Source organism: Homo sapiens, chromosome 13 (genome assembly GCF_000001405.40).
Source record: "Homo sapiens chromosome 13, GRCh38.p14 Primary Assembly".
NCBI classification, from domain to species: domain Eukaryota; kingdom Metazoa; phylum Chordata; class Mammalia; order Primates; family Hominidae; genus Homo; species Homo sapiens.
In genome coordinates this window covers 39,722,296-39,739,281 of record NC_000013.11, presented here as the reverse complement: position 1 = coordinate 39,739,281, position 16,986 = coordinate 39,722,296, and the positions used below count along the sequence as shown (strand labels likewise).

The window sequence follows — 16,986 nt, the reverse complement described above, 5'->3', positions numbered from 1 at the left end:
AGTTATCCACATTCATTGTAAAAACTGATTTAGCTTGGAATTTATAAAGAAAAACTTGCTATGACTTTTCTAGTTCTTGCTAGGAACTTTCTAGAACTAGAATCATCTAGTTTGAGTTCTTACGTTCATCTACTTAGGATTTCTTATTTCCTTTTTTGCTCATTCTTACATTAGTTTCATGAATGTTTTATCCGTACTTAAAAACAATGTGTATTTTCTATAGTTTGTGTGTAGTATTTTAAATATTTCTATTAGGTAAAGATTGGTAGTACTGTTCAACTATGAAGCATCATGTTAATTTCCTATTTTTTTGTATCAATTACTGAGAGGACTATGCAGAAATATCTAACTGTATTTCTTGATACAGCTACTCCTCATCAATCCTGTAAGCTTATATTTCATGTTATTTGCAGCTCTGCTATTAAATGCACAGATATACTACTATATTTACTTCATGTATTAATCCTATTATAAAATGTCACGTTTTATCTCTGGTATTATTATCTGTCTGTAGTCTAATTTTTCTTATAGTAATATAGCTACTCCAGCTTTAGGATTAGTGCTTGCATGGTATATCTTTTGTCATCCTTTTAAACTATCTCCACCTTTATATTTAAAATGGACTTTTTATAGATAGCAGATAGTTGTACCATGCTTTTTCATCCAGTCTAACAATTTTGTCTTTTAGTTCAAATCTGTAGTACTTTCACATTTAGTACAGTTACTTATTAGGCTGCAATTAAGTCTATCTTCCTGCTACTTGTTTCATACTTGTCTCATTTGTTCTTTTACCCTCCTTTTTCACCTTCTTTTGATACAATTACTTTTTAAAAATTCTATTTGTTCTTATCTATTGGTATGCTAAATAACTTTATTTGTTTCAATGGTTGTGGGAAGGTTTACAGTCTACCTCCAATCAATATTATATATTTCATGGATAACTTAATATCCTTACAATATTAAAACACCAAACTTCCACTTCCCTCCCACTGCATCTTTTGCACTTTTGTTGTCGTATGTTTTATGTGTTTAAAATTCCACAATTAGGAGAAAGATGAGCAAATAGAAGCCTCCAGAGATCGTCCCCCAAGCAGGAACGCCAAATCTATCCACACAAAAAATCACCTTCCTAAGAACCAAAAATTAGGTGAGCAATCATAGTACTTGGTTTTAACATCATATTAAGGAAAGAGGCACTAAAGAGGATAAGAAAGATAGTCTTGAATTGCCTACACCATCCTTCCCCTAATCCCTGGCACTGGCAGCATGGCGCGGAGAGAGAATTTATGTGCTTGTGGAAGGGAGAAAAAAGAGTGATTGTGGGACGTAGCACTGGAATTTAGTGCTGCCCTGTCACAGCAGAAAGCAACACCAGGCAGAACTCAGCCAGCATCCACAGAGGGAGCATTTAGACCAGCACTAGTCAGAAGGGAAGCCTCCATCCCAGCGGTCAGAACCAGAGTTCTGGCAAGCCCCACCACCATGGGATAAGGTGCTCTGGGATCTGAAATAAACTGAAGGGCAAGTTTTGGGCCATAAGGGCTCTAATTCCTGGGCAAGCTTCTGTGCTGTGCTGGGCTTAGAGCCAGTGGACTTGGGGTGCACGTGACCTAGTGAGACACCAGCTAGGGCAGCCACGGGAGTACTTGCATCACTCCTCCCGCAACCCCAGGTGATGCAGCTTGTAGCTCCGGGTAAGACTCCTTCCTTCTGCTTGAGACAGAAGCATGGGAAGGACTTTGTTCTGTATCTTGGATGCCAGCTCAGCCACCTCAGAACAGAACACCACATATAATAGATTCCTAAGGTTCCTGACTCCAGGCCCTGCATCCCAGACAGCTTCTCTGGACCCACTCGGAGACAAGGGAAACTCACTGCCCTGAAGGGAAGGACACAAGCCTCACTGATTCATCACTTGCGGACTGCAGAGCCCTTGGACCTTGAGGGAACATAGGCAGTAGTCATGCAGTGATCCCTGTGGGCCTTGGGCAAGACCCAATGCTATGCTTGCTTTGGATCTCACCCAGCGCAGTACCAGTGGTGGTGCCACGAAGAGGCATGTATCACCACTCCCCCAGCTCCGAGGCAGCTCAGTACAGAGAGGGAGACTCTATTTGCCTGGGGGAAAGTAAGGGAAGAGAACAAGAGTCTACACCTGGTAATCCAGGAAGTTCTCCTGGATCTCACCCAACACCACCAATGTAGTACCCTCATTGAGTCTGCAAGAGCCACAGGGCTTGAGGTGTTCCCTAATGTAGATATGGCTGCAGTGACCAAAGACTTAATTCACAAGTCCCCTTGAATACTTGGAAAGCCTTCATAAGAAGGACAGGTACAAGGCCCAGACTATGAAGACTATAACACCCACCTCTTCGATGCCCAGACACTGATGAACATCTACAAGCATCAAGACCATCCAGGAAAACATGACTTCCCCAAACAAATTAAACAAGGCACCAGTGACCAACCCTAGAGTGACAGACATATGTGACCTTTCAGACAGAGAAATCAAAATAGTTGTGCCGAGGAAGTGCAAAGAAATTCAAGATAACACAAAGAAGAAATTCAGAATCTTGTTTTTTGTTTTTTTGAAATGGAGTTTTGCTCTTCTTGCCCAAGCTGGAGTGCAATGGCACGATCTCGGCTCACCGTAACCTCCGCCTCCCAGGTTCAAGCGATTCTCCTGCCTCAGTCTCCTGAGTAGCTGGGATTACAGGCATGCACCACTATGCCTGGCTAATTTTGTATTTTTATAGAGACAGGGTTTCTCCATGTTGGTTAGGCTGGTCTTGAACTCCTGACCTCAGGTAATCCAAGTGTCTCGGCCTCCCAAAGTGTTGGGATTACAGGCGTGAGACACTGCGCCTGGCCAAAATTCAGAACCTTATCAGGTAACTTTAACAAAGAGCTTGAAATAGTCAAAAAGAATCAGGCAGAAAGTCCGAAGCTGAAAAATACAAGTGACATGCTAAAGAATGCATCAGAGTCTCTTAGCTGCAGAACTAATCAAACAGAAGAAAGAACTACTGAGCTTGAAGACAGGATATTTGAAAATACACAGTAAGAGGAGACAAAAGAAAAAGGAATAAAAAAAAAAATGAAGCACACATACAAGATCTAGAAAATAGCCTCCAAGGAGCAAATCCAAGAGTTGTTGGCCTTAAAGAGGAGGCAGAGAGAGATTAGTGTAGAAAGTTTATTTGACGGGATAACAGAGAACTTTCCGAACCTAGAGAAAGATATCAATATTCAAGTAGAAGAAGGTTACAGACCACTAAGCAGATGTAATCCAAATAAGGCTACCTCAAGACCTTTAATAATCAAACTCCCAAAGGCCAAAGAAAAAGAACGTAAAAGCAGCAAGAGAAAAGAAACAACCTACAAAGGAGCTCCAATAATTCTGGCAGCAGACTTTTCAGTGGAAACCTTACAGGACAGGAGAGAGTGGCATGACACATTTAAAGTGCTGAAGGAAAAAAAAACTTTTATCCTAGAATACCATATCCAGTGAAAAGATCTTATAAACATGAAGGACAAATAAAGGCTTTCCCAGACCAAAAAAAAAAAAAAAAAAAGGACTTCATCAACACCACATCTGTCCTACAAGAAATGCTAAAGAGAGTTCTTCAATCTGAAAGAAAAGGACATTAATGAGCAATAAGAAATCATCTGAAGGAACTAAACACACTGGTAATACTAGGTACACAGAAAAACACAGAATGTTGTAAACTGTAACCATGGTGTGTAAACTACTCATATCTTGAGTAGACAGAATAAAAAGATGAACCTAGCAAAAATAACTACAGTAACATTTCAAGTGACAGACAGTATAATAAGATATAAGTAGAAAAAACAAATATTAGCAGGGCAATGAAGTTAAAGGGTAAAGAGTTTTTATTAGTTTTCTCTTGGCTTGTTTGTTTACACAATCAATGTTAAGTTGTTGTCAGTTTAAAATAATGCAGTATAAGATATTATTTGGAAGCTTCATGGTAACCTCAAGTCAAAAAACATACAACAGATATACAAAAAATAAAAAGAAATTTAAAATATACCACCAGAGAAAATCACCTTCACTAAAAAAGAGACAAGAAGGAAGGAAAGAAGGAAGTGAAAATCACAGAACAACAAGAAAGCAAGTTTTTAAATGGCAGAGTAAGTCCTTATCAGTAATAACACAATGTAAATGGACTATGGTCTCCAACAAAAAGTCACAGAGTGGTTGAATGGATTAAAAAAACAAGACCCAAAAATCTGTTGCCTACAAAAAAAATACTTCATCTACAAAAGCAGACATAGACTGAAAAAAAGAGAGATAGAAAAAGATACTCCATGCCAGTGGAAACAAACAAAAAAATAGGAGTAGCTATACTTATTTATATCAGAAAAAATAGATTTGAAGGCAAACATAAAAAGAGACAAACAAGTTCAGTATATAATGATAAAGGGGTAAATTCAGCAAGAGGATATAACAATTGTAAATATACATGCACCCAACATTGGAGCACCCAGATATACAAAGCAAGCATTATTAGAGATAATGAGAGAGACAGACTCCAAAACAATAATAGCTGGAGGCTTCAACCCTCTACTTTGAGCACTGGACAGACTTCCCAGAGAGAAAATTAAAAAAGAAATATTGGACTTAATCTGCACTACAGACCAAATGCACCTAATCAATATTTGTAGAGTATTTCATCCAATGGCTGCAGAATAAACATTTTCTCTGCAGCACATAGATCATTCTCAAGGACAGACCATATGTTAGGACACAATAAAAGTCCATAAAATTTTTTTAAAAATGAAATTATATCAAGTATCTTCTCTGACCACAATGGAATAAAACTAAAAATCAATAACAATAATAATTTTGGAAAGTATACAAACACATGGAAATTTAACAATATGTTCCTGAATAACCAGTGGGCTAATGAAGAAATTAAGAAGGAAATTAAAAAATTTATTGAAACAACTGAAAATGGAAACAACATACCAAAACCAATGGGATACAGCAAAAGCAGTACTAAAAGGAAACTTTGTAGCTGTAAGTGCCTACAAAAAAAAGTAGAAAAGCTTCAAATAAACAACCTAATGATACATTTTAAAGAACTAGAAAAGCAAGAAGAAACCAAACCCAAAATTAGTAGAAGAAAATAAAGATCAGAGCAGAAATATATGAAATTGAAACAAAAGTACAAAAGAGTGATGAAACAAAAGGTGATTTTTTGAAAAGATAGACAAAATTGACAAACCTTTAGCTAGACTAAGAACCAGAAGATCCAAATAAATAAAATCAGAGATGAAAAAGGAGACATCACAGCCAATACCCCAGAAATTCAAAGGCTCATTATAGGCTACTATGAGCAACTATAAGCTTAGAAGAAATGAATAAATTCCTAGACACATGCAATCTGCCAAGACTGAACCATGAAGAAATTCAAAACCTGAAGAGTCCAATAACAAGTAATGAGATCAAAGCCATAATAAAAAGTGTCTCAGCAAAGAAAAAGCCAGGAACTGATGGCTTCACTTCTGAATTTTACCAAATAATTAAGGAAGAACTAATGCTAATTCTACTCAAACTATTCCAAGAAATAGATGAGAAGGGAATACTTCCACGTTCATTCTATGAGGCCAGTATTTAACCCTGATACCAAAACCAAAGACAGATTAAGAAAAAAAAAAACAGTACAACAAAAATACAGGCCAATATCCCTGATGAGCAATGATGTAAAAATTCTCAAAATAATAGAGAAAAGCATAGAAAATGATTTTAAAGAATTCTTCCTTTTTGGCCGGGCACAGTGGCTCACACCTGTAATCCCAGCACTTTGGGAGGACGAGGTGGGCAGATCACAAGGTCAGGAGTTTGAGATCAGCCGGGCCAACATGGTGAAACCCCGTCTCTACTAAAACTACAAAAATTAGCCGGGCACATTGGCAGGTGTCCATATTCCCACCTACTCAGGAGGCCGAGGCAGAAGAGTGGCTTGCACCCAGGACGCAGAGGTTGCAGTGAGCCAAGATCGCGCCGCTCCACTCCAGCCTGGGTGACACAGCAAGACTCCGTCTCCAAAAAAAAAAAAAAAAAAGAATTCTTTCTTTTTGTACCCATTTCTTACAGTGCATTATGCTGGGGATAAACCTTCTCTACTTTCGTTTATTTCAAAACATTTATTTCACTTTCAGTTTGAAAGACACTTTTTTTTTTGATCGATCATTTAAAGTTGACGTTTTTATACTTAGCTTTTCAAAGGTGATGATATTCTACTGTGTTCTGGTCTGCGCTGTTTCTAACAAGAAGTCAGTAATGCCACTGTTCCCTGCAAATGTCTTTAAAAATTTTTCTCTTTATCACTGGTTTTCAATAATTTGATTATGGTATACTTTGGTATTTAATTTCTTGGGTCTGAGGGTTCCTATTTGCCATAACATTTAGAAAAAATTCCCCTTTTATTCAAATTTTTCTGCTTCAATTACACTATGATATCTAATTATACAGGTTAGACTGCTTAGTATTATCTCACAATTCTCTAAGACTCCATCTATTTTCCAGCCTTTTAATTTTTTTTCTATCTGTGCTTCAGTTTCTATTGTCCTCTCTTCAAGTTAACTGATCTTTCCCTCTGGAGTGTTCAACTGGCCTATAAGACAATCCAGTGAATTTTTCATTTTATATACTGCATCTCTGAATTCTAGAATTCTAATTTTGTAAAATCCCCTATTCTCTAAGGGTCATGTTTTCCTTTAAATTCTTGAACATATTTTTAACAGCTTTTTAAAACACCTTATCTGTTAATTCTGTAAACTTTAGCATTTGTAAGTATGTTTTTACTGACTGATTTTTTTCTCTAGGTTTGGCTCATATTTTCCTGCTTCCTCACTGCAATAGCATTTTATCACATGCTTAGCATTATAGATGTTACACTGTTGATTGTCTGTAACTGTCATCTTTAAGTATGTATGTTTTGTTCCGGAAGGCAGTTAATTTAATTACAGATCAAGTTGATAATTTAGAGGCTTGATTTTAAGCTTAATTAGTATGAATCTAAATTAGCTCTGATAGTTAATCTTAAGGGTTAACTTGACTGGATAAGGGATACCTAGTTAGTTGATAAAGCATAATTTCCGGGTGTGTCTGTGAGGGTGTTTCCACAGGAGATTGGCATGTAAGTTGGAAGACTGAGTGAAGAAGATTCACCGTCAATGGGGCGGGCTCCATCCAATCAGCTGAAGGCCTGAATGGAACAAAAAGGCAGAAGAACAGCAAATTGCTCTTTTTCTCTCCTGCAGCTAAGATACTCTTTCTTTTCCTTCCTTTGACATAAGAATTCCAGGTTCTCCAGCCTTTGGAGATTAATCCTGCTTTTAAGGTTTGGACTTTCTGAGGTCTCTAAAGCATTCAGTTCACAGCTGTCCAGTAGTTCTCTTCCTGGTAGTATTTTTTTTTAATTTTACCCCAAACTTGCTTTATTTTTGTCTATATGGATATTCCTGATAGTACAAGTGAATAAAAGAAGGTAGTTAAAAGAAAAAAAAGTGTTCAATTTCTCTCAAAAAAATTACTCCATTATAGGTACATGCTTTATTTCTAGCATATTATTTCTATAATGGAGGAAAAACCTTGAATAAAAGAGTTATCAAAACTTACCCATTTTCCCATATGCTCACTTTAGGAAGCATCTGCATTCTCTTTATTTCTTAAGTTATTATGGAAGTAACTGTGACTCAATAAGCAAAGATTTATTGAGAACATTTTATATATGCACAACTGTGGTTTCTGTAGTCCAAACTCTATTTTTGTATTGCTATAAGGTGAATATTGGAGATTTTGCATTGAAAATAGAACAAGAAGCTTCAAATTCACTCCAAAGGGAAGAATTCTTTAAAACCATTTTCTTTCTCTATTCTTTTCCCTATTTCCTATACCACCTTGTTTCCTAGCTACTTAAATGTATTCAATAGCTTATTCCAAGGCTGAAGTGCTAAATCAAAATCTCCTTTGAAAGTCAGTCAAACTAAGACAAGACAAGAAAAAGGGAGACACAGGTTATAGGTGTCCCAAAGGTATTGCAACTATGAAGATAGATAAAGTTCAGGAGAAGAGAACAGGAAAAAACCAAAAACAGATAGTAGGAGCGCAATTTAAAAATTTGCTTTAGGCCGGGAGTGCTATCAAGCCTGTCACCCCAGCACTTTGGGAGGTCAAGGCAGGTGTATAATTTGAGGTCAGGAGTTCGAGACCAGCCTGGCCAACATGGTGAGGCCCCCATCTCTACTAAAAATACAAAAATCAGCCAGGAGTGGTGGCATGCACCTGTAGTCCCAACTACTCAGGAAGCTAAGGCAGGAGAATCACTTGAACCCAGGAGATGGAGGCTGTAGTGAGCTGAGATTATGCCACTGCACTCCAGCCTGGGTGACAATGCCAGACTCTGTCTCAAAAAAATAAAAATAAGAAAATCTCCTTTAATGTTAAATCTTTTTTTTTTTTTTTTTTTTTTTTTTGAGATGGAGTCTTGCTCTGTCGCCCAGGCTGGAGGGCAGTGGTGCGACTGCGGCTCACTGCAACCTCCACCTCCCGGGTTCAAGCGATTCTCCTGCCTCAGCCTCCTAAGTAGCTGGGAATACAGGCACACACCACCACACCAAGCTAATTTTTGTATTTTCAGTAGAGACAGGGTTTCACCATATTGGCAAGGCTGGTCTTGAACTCCTGACCTCATGATCTGCCTGCCTCGACCTCCCAAAGTGCTGGGATTACAGGCATTCAGTGAACCACCACGCCCGGCCTGACGTTAAATCTTAAATATGTAAAATGCCCTATATTTTCAAAGCAATCCTGATTTGAAAATAAGTAGCTAAATTTATACCATAATTTCTGTTCGTCTAAACAAATATTGAAAATTATGTTGCAGATCACATTTAATTTTCCAATACTTTGCATATAACATTTAAAAATATTTCTGAATGAAAACAGAGGTAAATAGGTACTAAGAAATTTCAAACTCTTGTTTGTAGTATTAATACTTATATAAATAATATGCATATCTCAATTTTAAATGTCATTATAAATAGTAAGAATTCATAATAGGATGTTAGGCACATATCATAAAATAATTTTAAAAACTAAATTAAAAATTCACATTTAAAAAAAAGTACCAAAACTTGTTCATTTGTCTGATAATAAAATAACAAAGTTTACATTGTTACCGTTAGACAACAGGACAATAAAAGTAAAGGAGAAACTAAAATATTGTCTTCAATAATGGAAGACAAACATTTAATTTCAAAAATGATTTAAGCTTAGGAAATCTGACAAGTTTCTGAGGCAAACGACTCGAATAGATCCATACACAATACTCAATCCCACTGCTGGTTCAACAGTTTTTTTAAACTATTACCAAGACTAAGAAAGAAAAATAAAATTTTAGAAGAGCCTAAGAATGTATAATTTTGAAATTTTGTGGAATGTTGCCAAACTGCTCTTTGAAAAGATTGTACTAATTTATACTCTCATTCAAAAAAGTGTGAAAATGCCCACTTTCTCAGACCTGTTCCATTAGTATGTAATAAATGTTTTATTGTCAGCAGTCTGATAGACAGAAGTTCTCGTTGTTTCAGTTTGCATTTTTTGATAATTACTATTTCCTCATATATTTACTTGCCATTTCCATTACTTCTGTGAGTTGTTCAAATATTCAGTGCCTGTTTTTCTACAATTTGTATGAATTTATAGGATCTTACTATATATTAAGGATAATATATTAAGAATAATTTATCTGTTACATATTTTGCAAACATTTTTCCATATTATTGTTTATATTTCAACTTAGTTTATATTATCTTTTTCTGTAAAAACCTTAAAATGTTACAGAGCCAAATCTGTCCATCTGTTTCCTTTACAGCAGCAGCTCCCAGTGGTTTTGGCAGCAGGGACTGGTTTTGTGGAAGACAATTTTTCCGTGGACAAGAAGTTGGGGGATGGTTTTGGGATGAAACTGTTCCATCTCATAAGGAGCACATAACCTAGATCCTTCCAGGCGCAGTTCACAGTAGGGTTTGTGCTCCCAACAGGCCACAGACCAGGGTCCCTGGCCCGGGGTTGGGGACCCCTGCTTCACAGCATCTGAGCTACATGTCATCTTTTAAAGTACATTAAAATCTCTCTTCAATCATTATATTATGAAAAGAATAACAGTATATTTCACATGTAGTGACATGGCTAACAACATTCTAATATTACGTACTGAGACACAGTTAAGTTAAAAAGAATTACAGGTATTCAGTTAAAAATTTAATAATTTAAGAAGCACATTGGCCGGGCGCAGTGGCTCACACCTGTAATCCCAGCACTTTGGGAGGCCGAGGCAGGTGGATCACGAGGTCAGGAGTTCAAGAACAGCCTGGCCAATATGGTGACACCCCATCTCTACTAAAAATACAAAAATTAGCCAGGTGTGGAGGTGGGCGCCTGTACTCCCAGTTACTCAGGAGGCTGAGGCAGGAGAATCGCTTGAACCTGGGAGGCAGAGATTGCACTGAGCCAAGATCACTGCACTCTAGCCTGGGAGAAAGAGCAAGACGCCGTCTCAAAAAAAAAAAAGAAGCACCTACAAACAACCTGAGTCACAGCATAACAGTTTCTTTGGTAATCTCTTAAGTCTTTAGAATTCTGGTTATGTAAATAGTATAATATCTTTTAGAATAATACAATATAAAGGTCACAAAAAAAAATTAAATTCATTTACTCTAGTCACTCACCTAAAATGGAACTTTCCTAACTCTGTGTCTGAGAAAAAAAAAAAAAGTGGTCCATAGATTTCCAGCCAATTCTAATTGATACCAAATTCTGCATGGTGAGTTAAAAAGCTGCTTCTTTGCTCTATTTTCTGCTGTAGTTCTATACTCAAGAACAGAAAATAAGTATATCACCTCTATAACATTACATTCTTTTAGATATCTGAAATGTTTTGTTCAATAGTTCTTTCCTTACTGTACATTTCAATGTAAATATTTGTTCGCATGTTTAACTGACCTATTAGGTTATAAGCTCCGTGAAAACAGTGCAAATGTCTTTTAAGCCTTAACTCCTAGTGCCTGTTATGTAGAAAACACTTACTGCACTGCTGTTTGAATAGAAAGAAAAAAAAATGTGTAGATAATGTTGCCTAATTTCTTACCTATAGACAATTTTGCCAATATTTTTCTTAAAATCAAGAAAGATCATATAATCTCTCCGCTTCTTCTAATTGTTATATTCTAATATTTTAATGTATGATTTGGTGTCCTGAATACATTCCTGATAAATGATATTGAGTAATTTTATATCTACAGAACACTACCTTAGATTCAAAATAGTCTATAAATCAGTTCATCTGCATTGCATAATGAATATATTATTGATTTTCCATAACATATTCAACATTATTCTGACATGTTTGTTAACGTAAGGGAATTTGGTATTACAGCTATATAGCTTCAATTATATTCAAAGTAATTTTAACAATCATGTACTAATTAGAGATTTTGGAGTGACATATAGACATGGAATAAGTACAGACATGTTCAGATCTCATCCTTTGGCATGCCAAGGCAGAAGAAAGGTTGAGAACTATAGATTTTCAATGGTAAATCATTTATTCTTGAAAATAAATTTTTTTCCAAAAAAATGTACTTGATATTTAAAAATATGTGAATCTTTACCAACTACTTGGGACCAAAAATACTTACTTCACTGTGGCACTTAGAAGAAAGTTCAGCTGTGGTATCAATAGGTTGTCTGGGGCTGACAGATAACGATCAAACTGAACCTAAATGAAACAGAGAAATACAAAATATAAAGTACATATATGTGCTAACAAACAACTCAAATATAAACATCTCTTTTAAGAATTAAATCCTTGAGAAAAATTCCATACTCTAAATAACTAGATTGTTGTGTTCAAATTGTGTATTTTCTAAACATTCTAACTAAAACTCCCTAAAACTGTCAAATCTGTAATATAGTCAATATTAGCAATACTTACTTTCAAAATCCTGAATCCAAACCATTCATTTTAGTCTTCCTCACAAAGCTTTTAAGTAATAATATTAACAAGAAGTAAAGTCATCAGGTTTCAGGTCTACCTGTTTCTTGATTTTACTATATTTGTTCATTTGTTCATTAATGCATTCATTAGTTCAACTAATACCTACCATTGAAAAGGTACTATATTAAGTAATGGAAGTATAAAAATGAGCAAAAAAAGGATAGTCCCTAGCTTCACAGAGCTTATGGCCTAGCAAGAGAGGTGTTAAACAGATAATAATATAAATAAATATATAATTACAAATTTTGTTAAATGCTATTAAGGAATAAAACAAGGTACTATAAAGCATAAATCAAGGACCTAGTCTGTGGATTCGGCAAAAGCATCTCTCAGGAAAGGACATTTGAAGTGAAATCTTAAAGATGAATATACATTAAGTAAGTGGATTGATGGGTGGGGAGGTTCAGGGAGAGGAGACAGCATGAAGACTTGAGGTGGGAAGGAAAACATATAAGTAGAGATCATGTAGGACTGGCATGCTTATTTAAGGATTTTAATTATTTCAAAAGCATTAGTAAACCATTGAATTTAAGTAAGGGAGAAATCTGATTTAAGTTTTAAGAAGCTAAATCTGGCCATAGGAAGACAGAATGGAAGATTGCAATAATAGATACAAAGACACCAATTAGGTACCTTAGGTACCTACTGCAGCATTTTTAGACTATAGGGGCAATCAAGGTGAAAGACGTAAAGATATTTGAGGACCATCAGGACTTGGTTACTGATAGAATGAAGGGATGGACTCCCAGATTTTGGATATGTATGAATTAATTCACCATATTATCATAACACATAACTGTACTCTTCATTCATTTATTTGTGTAGTAGCTGCATCCCTTACTAGATCATATCTGTTTTCATCCCAATTCTTAGCATGATGCCTAGAAAATAGCAGAAACTCGGTTAATAACTATTTAAATGATAAATGGATAGAAGGTCTTACAATTTTCTGAGTTAATAATGCCTGGAAGAGGACTTAGGTTTAGGGTGGAATGTGCAGAGTTAGTTTTGGACATGCTGAATTGAAGTGCCTTAGAAACCCCTAAATGGAGACAACAAATGGTTGTATATAATCACGTATTAAATACAAAACTCAAGCAAGATTTGTTTCTCCAGAGACATCGTATATTCATATTCACCTTAATTGTTCTGAAAATTAACACCAGGAACATGAAGAATTTTTAATGGCATTTCAAATATTTTATGAGTTGTATTACAGACTGGATATGTGTCAAGAGAGAAGGAGAAACAGAGGAAGGGAACATATATTTGGTACTAACTAATGTTACAGATCTAAGTGTGAGCATAGATCTTCATTTTTGGGGGGTAAATATCTTGAAGTGGAATTGTACTGGATAGTATGGTAAGTGTATATATAACTTTCTAAAAACATATCTTTTAATGAATCTAAAATTCATTTTCATCTATTTTTATTTAAACTTTTTAATATCGAATTTTCTTTGCATTTCTAATTTTTGCTACTATGTTTTTGTTTCATATATAGAAGTTATAACTGTTGCTTCTATATAGTGTCTTTTATCACGACATAATGTTTCTTATTTGTCTCATTTAGTCTTTTTAAATTCTACTTTATCTAATAATCATATAGATAGCTCCACCTTCTTCTTTGCATTTGTTAGGTATCTTATGAGCCTATCCTTTTGTTTTCAGTTAAACTGAGTTCTGGAAGATAATATATAGGAAAGCCTTGGCATCAAAAATTGTTGGAAAATTTAAAAACCTTCCTACAGGACTATCTATGAAAGTCAGGCCATTGTGGTAGTGAGTATACGTGAGTATTTTAAATACTTAGGATCACTAGTTTAGTACAGTAGTTAAACCCACAAGCTCTGTAGGCCAACTTCCTGGATTGAATGGGGTTGTCATGAGGATTAAAGAGTTAATACAGGGAAAACACTTGCTATGCTAATGTTAATGGCTGTTGTTCTTCCATATTATTATTACTATTACTAGTAGTACTATCATAAAACTTCCAAAAGGGATCATTCCTATGAGGGATAGAGCTATATGACTTAAATATCATACAATGAATGGCTATGCATATGAACACTATACATATGAGGAAAGTATATGTATTTAAGACACAGAAACACACTACAAAAAGTAGTGATCATGCAAAAAGGAAGGTACAAGATCTTCACCTGAAAAGAAGGAAGGTAATAAAGTGGAAATTCAGTGAGTCTCAAACTAAAGAGTAATAAACTGTTTTAAGAGTGGAATCTAATTTCGATTTTCACGTCAGGAACTTTAAACGAAGGATCAAGGTAGTAATAAGTTTATAATGATATACAGCCTAATTTCTTCATATCTGTCATTCCTGTTTCTCACTTAAATTAGGAACAAAACTCTAAAAATAGAGTAAACAGTAATCCTAAACAGTAATGATGAGACTATCAGAGCATAGTGGAACACTACTATGAATGTAAGACTTGGCCAGAACTGTTCAATTAAAGTAATACAGGCTCAGTCATTATTATTGGACCCAACGTTAATACAGCATGTCAAGAGATAAAAAGTGTCACCCAGAATGAAATTATCACACAGCAAAAAATGAAGACTATCGATCCATAAGGAAATCTAAATTAAAATGTTTTATTATACACTTACCATTGCAGCCTTCAGTGTCACAGAATCTAGGTTGGGCATATTAGCTAAAGAGCCCTATTTAAAAAAAAAAAAAAAAAAGCAGATCCAAGATGTAAAAAAGGAGATATACATTTCATTTCACTTACTGAATATAGTTCATTAGTGCACTGCCCAAATTTGGAAAATCATTTAGCTTATTTCCAAAGAACTCAAGTGTAATTTCTTCAACCTCAATAAGATCAGGGACTATGATTTGTTGGAGAGAGCAAGACGTGCTCAAGTTTATTAACAACAGAAATATCATGATACTTCAAGTTTACGCATACCCAAGAAAATGAAGGCAATGAAGCACTGGAAGATGCCAGTGACACATGGAGGCTTGAACAGTTTCACTTTGATACTTTTAGAAAGTACAGAAAGGCAGTAAAATTGGTTCCTACTGGTAGAAATTTGCTTACCACTTCAGCAAAGAAAGAATTGAAAAGTTGTGTTTTAAGAGCTTCATTTAAGAGTTTCTGGGCCATAACACAGTCTTCATGTTAATGCTGTTTGAATGAGTTCTTTGCTTTCTTAAGAAAGATGGCTTACATGGTTTTCTAAGGTTCCCACCACTCCTTTATTTCTACTAGGGTTCTATAATTTAATAAGATCATATGCTGGCCCCAGAAGTGACTACCTTCTCAAAGTAATGGGCAACAATTTGCTAAATTAAAAAGAAGATGACTGCTATTTATACAGTAATCTATGCATTCAATTAACTAATAGTGATATAGGAATCTGAAAAACTTACCAGTATGAATATTCTTTAGACATTTTATAATACTAATTTTTGTATATTTTCATTACTTTTAACAAAAACTATTTTTAATAAAAAGGATTGTTAATACTGTGGGGCACTCTACCATATTTTAGGAAGTCATCTAAGAACTATGCATGTATTATGTCTTAAGAACAATCCTATGACACAGATACTATTATTACCCCCAATCCACAGGTAAGGAAACAGATACAGAAAAATAAGTCACTTTCCCAGGAGAACACAGCTAATATGTGGTAGAGCCAAGAATCCAGAGTGCAGCTCTAGAAGACATACTCTAAACTGGCATGTTCTTAGAATTAGGAAGGAACATCTATGCACTTACCTGTTCAGGTTTATGTTGCTGTACAGTGTTATAGATGTAACTCAAGCCTACCCTAGTTAAAACATAAGAGGCTTGCTCATTTATAAGTGTGTCCAAATGTGCTTCGATCTAAAATAAAACACAAAGAAAACATTTTAAAAGAAGAATGACACTGATGAGAGTAGATGCAGTGCCTTGCATTGGCACTGATGATGAGGCACAGGGATCACCTCTGTAACAAAGCCTCTTTCTTCCCCCAAACAGTAAGTCTTTCTATGAAAGGGGGAAAAAGTCTTACTTTAAAAATTATAAACAAGGAGGATTCTAGGACTATCCTCCAGTCACAAAATTTGGGTTGCTTCTCAGCCCTTTTAAAAGCTGCTAATAAACAAAACACAAACAAAAAACACTAGTAAACAACAACAGTATAAAATAAAATATTTAGGAAGAATTCCGAGATAAGGGCCTGATGTTCCTGACCTCCTGTCCTCCTCACGCTCCCAACTTTCTAGACTGACTTAACAAATCAAATATACCATCTGGAGAAGCCTAGAGGAAATCCCACTACAGCTCAGGTAGTAAATTCTCCTGAGGATAAGGCAGGTCTGTGACAAGTAGGGAAGAGCTGAGGGCCCAGTAGAAACTTGACTAAAGATTTCAGGTTCAGGAACTGCCTAAGAAGATGCAGCTAACAGATGTGAGTAGTATGGGCTCCCCAGCTTTGTGCTATTTTGGGGGATTCCAACTAATGCTAATGGAGATAAAAACCACAGAAGAGAACTACCTTGATGGGTTGAAACATTCCCTGGTGAGAAAAAATCTTGTTCTTTTTTTTTTTTTTTTTGTGCCAGTACAATCCTGAGTCTAGAGGTCTTCCTTCTATTCCTCACCAGAATGTTCCCCCAGATTTTACCAGTTTGCTTGCTAATGACATAGTACACTGTCAACTATGGTATCTGTTACCATCTAAATGATTGCCATTTTCCAAGCAACTCCAATAGCTCTGCTCGTCCCCCTAAAAAACTTAGAACTGATTTAAAAGAGGTGAGGAAGCTAAAAGAAAGCCCTTGTGAATAATCAGAACAAGTATGGTTTCTTTCCTGAGGCAACACTACTGAAAGACATAAAGTACTTTCATTTTTTTTTTTTTTAAATAAATGCCCAAG

At 35.6% G+C, this 16,986-nt stretch overlaps 1 protein-coding gene across 4 annotated transcripts in view; it reads right to left on the bottom strand.

The window, feature by feature from the left end:
- COG6 (component of oligomeric golgi complex 6) overlaps positions 1–16,986 on the bottom strand; it is a 136,040-nt gene that overhangs the window by 52,385 nt on the left and 66,669 nt on the right. For 3 of the 4 annotated variants that reach the window (NR_026745.1, NM_001145079.2, NM_020751.3), the window contains 3 exons: positions 15,842–15,949; positions 14,721–14,774; positions 11,734–11,813 (listed from right to left, as the gene is read on the bottom strand). Coding sequence is in view for 3 of the 4 variants with exons in the window: in NM_001145079.2 (NP_001138551.1) it covers positions 11,734–11,813; positions 14,721–14,774; positions 15,842–15,949 (242 nt within the window). In the remaining variant the exon portion in view is untranslated. Of the gene's footprint in view, positions 1–7,103; positions 7,239–11,733; positions 11,814–14,720; positions 14,775–15,841; positions 15,950–16,986 lie in introns of all 4 variants that reach the window. The other variant, XM_011535168.2, reaches the window with a different exon arrangement.